Source organism: Homo sapiens, chromosome 14, assembly GCF_000001405.40.
Source record: "Homo sapiens chromosome 14, GRCh38.p14 Primary Assembly".
Lineage (NCBI taxonomy): Eukaryota > Metazoa > Chordata > Mammalia > Primates > Hominidae > Homo > Homo sapiens.
The window spans coordinates 43,139,728-43,141,590 of record NC_000014.9 but is presented as its reverse complement, the minus strand read 5'-3'; the positions used below and the strand labels follow the sequence as shown (position 1 = coordinate 43,141,590).

Here is a 1,863-nt window from a genome sequence, read left to right as displayed (position 1 = left end):
CCAGGATACAGAAAGTCCTCTGTCCTTGCAATAAGGCAGAGGGTCTAATTGAGCTGATAAATACAAGCCGCCTACAGAGGGCTAAACTGAAAGAGCACACTATAACCTACGCCCACTGGGGCTTCAGCTGTGAACATTCACCCTAAACACTTCCCTGGGGTCAGAGCCCCATAACCTGCCTGTCTGCATGCTCCCGCTAGAGGTTTGAGCAGCAGGCACCAAAGAAGCAAGCCACAGCCGTATCACAGGGCCTGTGGGGGATAAAGGAACTTTTTCCATTTCACAATCAATAAGGCAAATTGCTTTAAACAAAAAAGCCCTGTTATACCAATAAGCAAAACATATTTGAAAATTTTAAACGCCTCATTTAAGATGAGGTGACTTATACAAAATTTAATTTAGCTTTGTCAATACCTATAATCTATGCTTTAGACCACTGCTTCTTATTTGCCTAGATTCTTCCTATTTCATACCGATGGTTGCCACCATCTTTTATTTTTTTACCTTAACTTCTAGTGCTTATAACTAATACCCATTAATATTTATTTTGGACTAAAATTGATTAGTAATTTTGGTCTTTAAATTTGAGAAGTAAATTTGTTTTCCATGTTTCTAAGAGTAATGATTACCTCTGATTATTTCTAAAATTATAGAATGAGGTTGGCTTTGAGTAAAAGAAAAATCAAACATAGCAATGCCTTCAACTGTAAACAGGTTTATTTTGATAAATTTTTTACCATCTTAATCAATCTGGAGGTAAGAAGTCCATAGTTAGAATAGTAATTCTGCTCCAGGACTTTCTCAAGGACCCAGGTTCCCCACAGCTAATCCTCCACCAATCCTGAAACATGACTCTTATCCACGTGATCCAAGATTTTGCATCAACTTTATAGATAGCAGAATGGAAGAACATGGAAGAAAGGGTAACTATATCTTAAAAGTGCTGACAGAAGTCACTTTGGCTTATACAGCTTTGGCCAGAATTTGGTTACATGTTCACATTTAGCTACAAGGATTGTTGGCAAACGTGATTAGCTATGTAGTCTGGGGGTTGTGTGTTTTGGTAAAAGTACTTCATATAGAAGAACAAATATTATCTCTGTCACATCTCACAACATACCTGAACTAGGAACTTTAAAAAAGGGATAAGAATTAGAAAATTTCAAAAAAAATATTTATTTGGCAATTATTTTTGTAAATTATTATTTCACAATGTTGACTCAAGCACCTTGAACCTCAAACTCTTGTTCTAATTTTCTTAGTCTACCTTATTGCTCTTTTGGCTGTTGCTGTTCCTTCCTCATTCAAATGAGGTTTAGATTTTTGTCTTAGACAATTTATCCTGTCTACACTCACTGCCTGGGTACCGTTAGTCCCTGTGGTTTTAAATAATTCATATAAATGGCCATATTTCTATTTCCAGAACTTCTGTCTCTCCTGAACTCTGAAACTATATCTCTGTTTAGTCAATGTTTCTACTTATATGTCTACAGTAAATTAAGCATCACATGTGACATGATGGAACTTACGGTTTCTCTCTTCCTTACATACACCCAATCTTAGTTTGTTTTTCTTATCTTAATATATGGCAAATCCACTCATCTGTTGATAAGGCACATAATTTTGAATACATTTTTACCTCTTTCTTTCTACAACACATATCTAAACACATATCTAAATTGTATTAGCTTTACCTTAAATCATTCTATAAATATTTATTTACTAGGCTTAAAATGCTTCCAAAGCCCTACCGTTCTACTATCACTCAGGTCTTGTCCATCATGATTTCTCACTTGAAATCTTGGAGTTTCTTTCCTACCGTATTTTTCTCGCCTTCTCTGTACTCCTTTGTACTCTATTTCT

General features: G+C 35.5%; 1 annotated feature.

The window, feature by feature from the left end:
- Positions 242-411: an enhancer, noted in NCBI's record as "experimental_33884 CRE fragment used in MPRA reporter constructs". NCBI's record gives its function as "activates a minimal promoter by MPRAs in K562 erythroleukemia cells, with activity observed for both the introgressed and non-introgressed 14:43610468 variant alleles {active_cell/tissue: K562}" and the evidence as "EXISTENCE:reporter gene assay evidence [ECO:0000049][PMID:34662402]".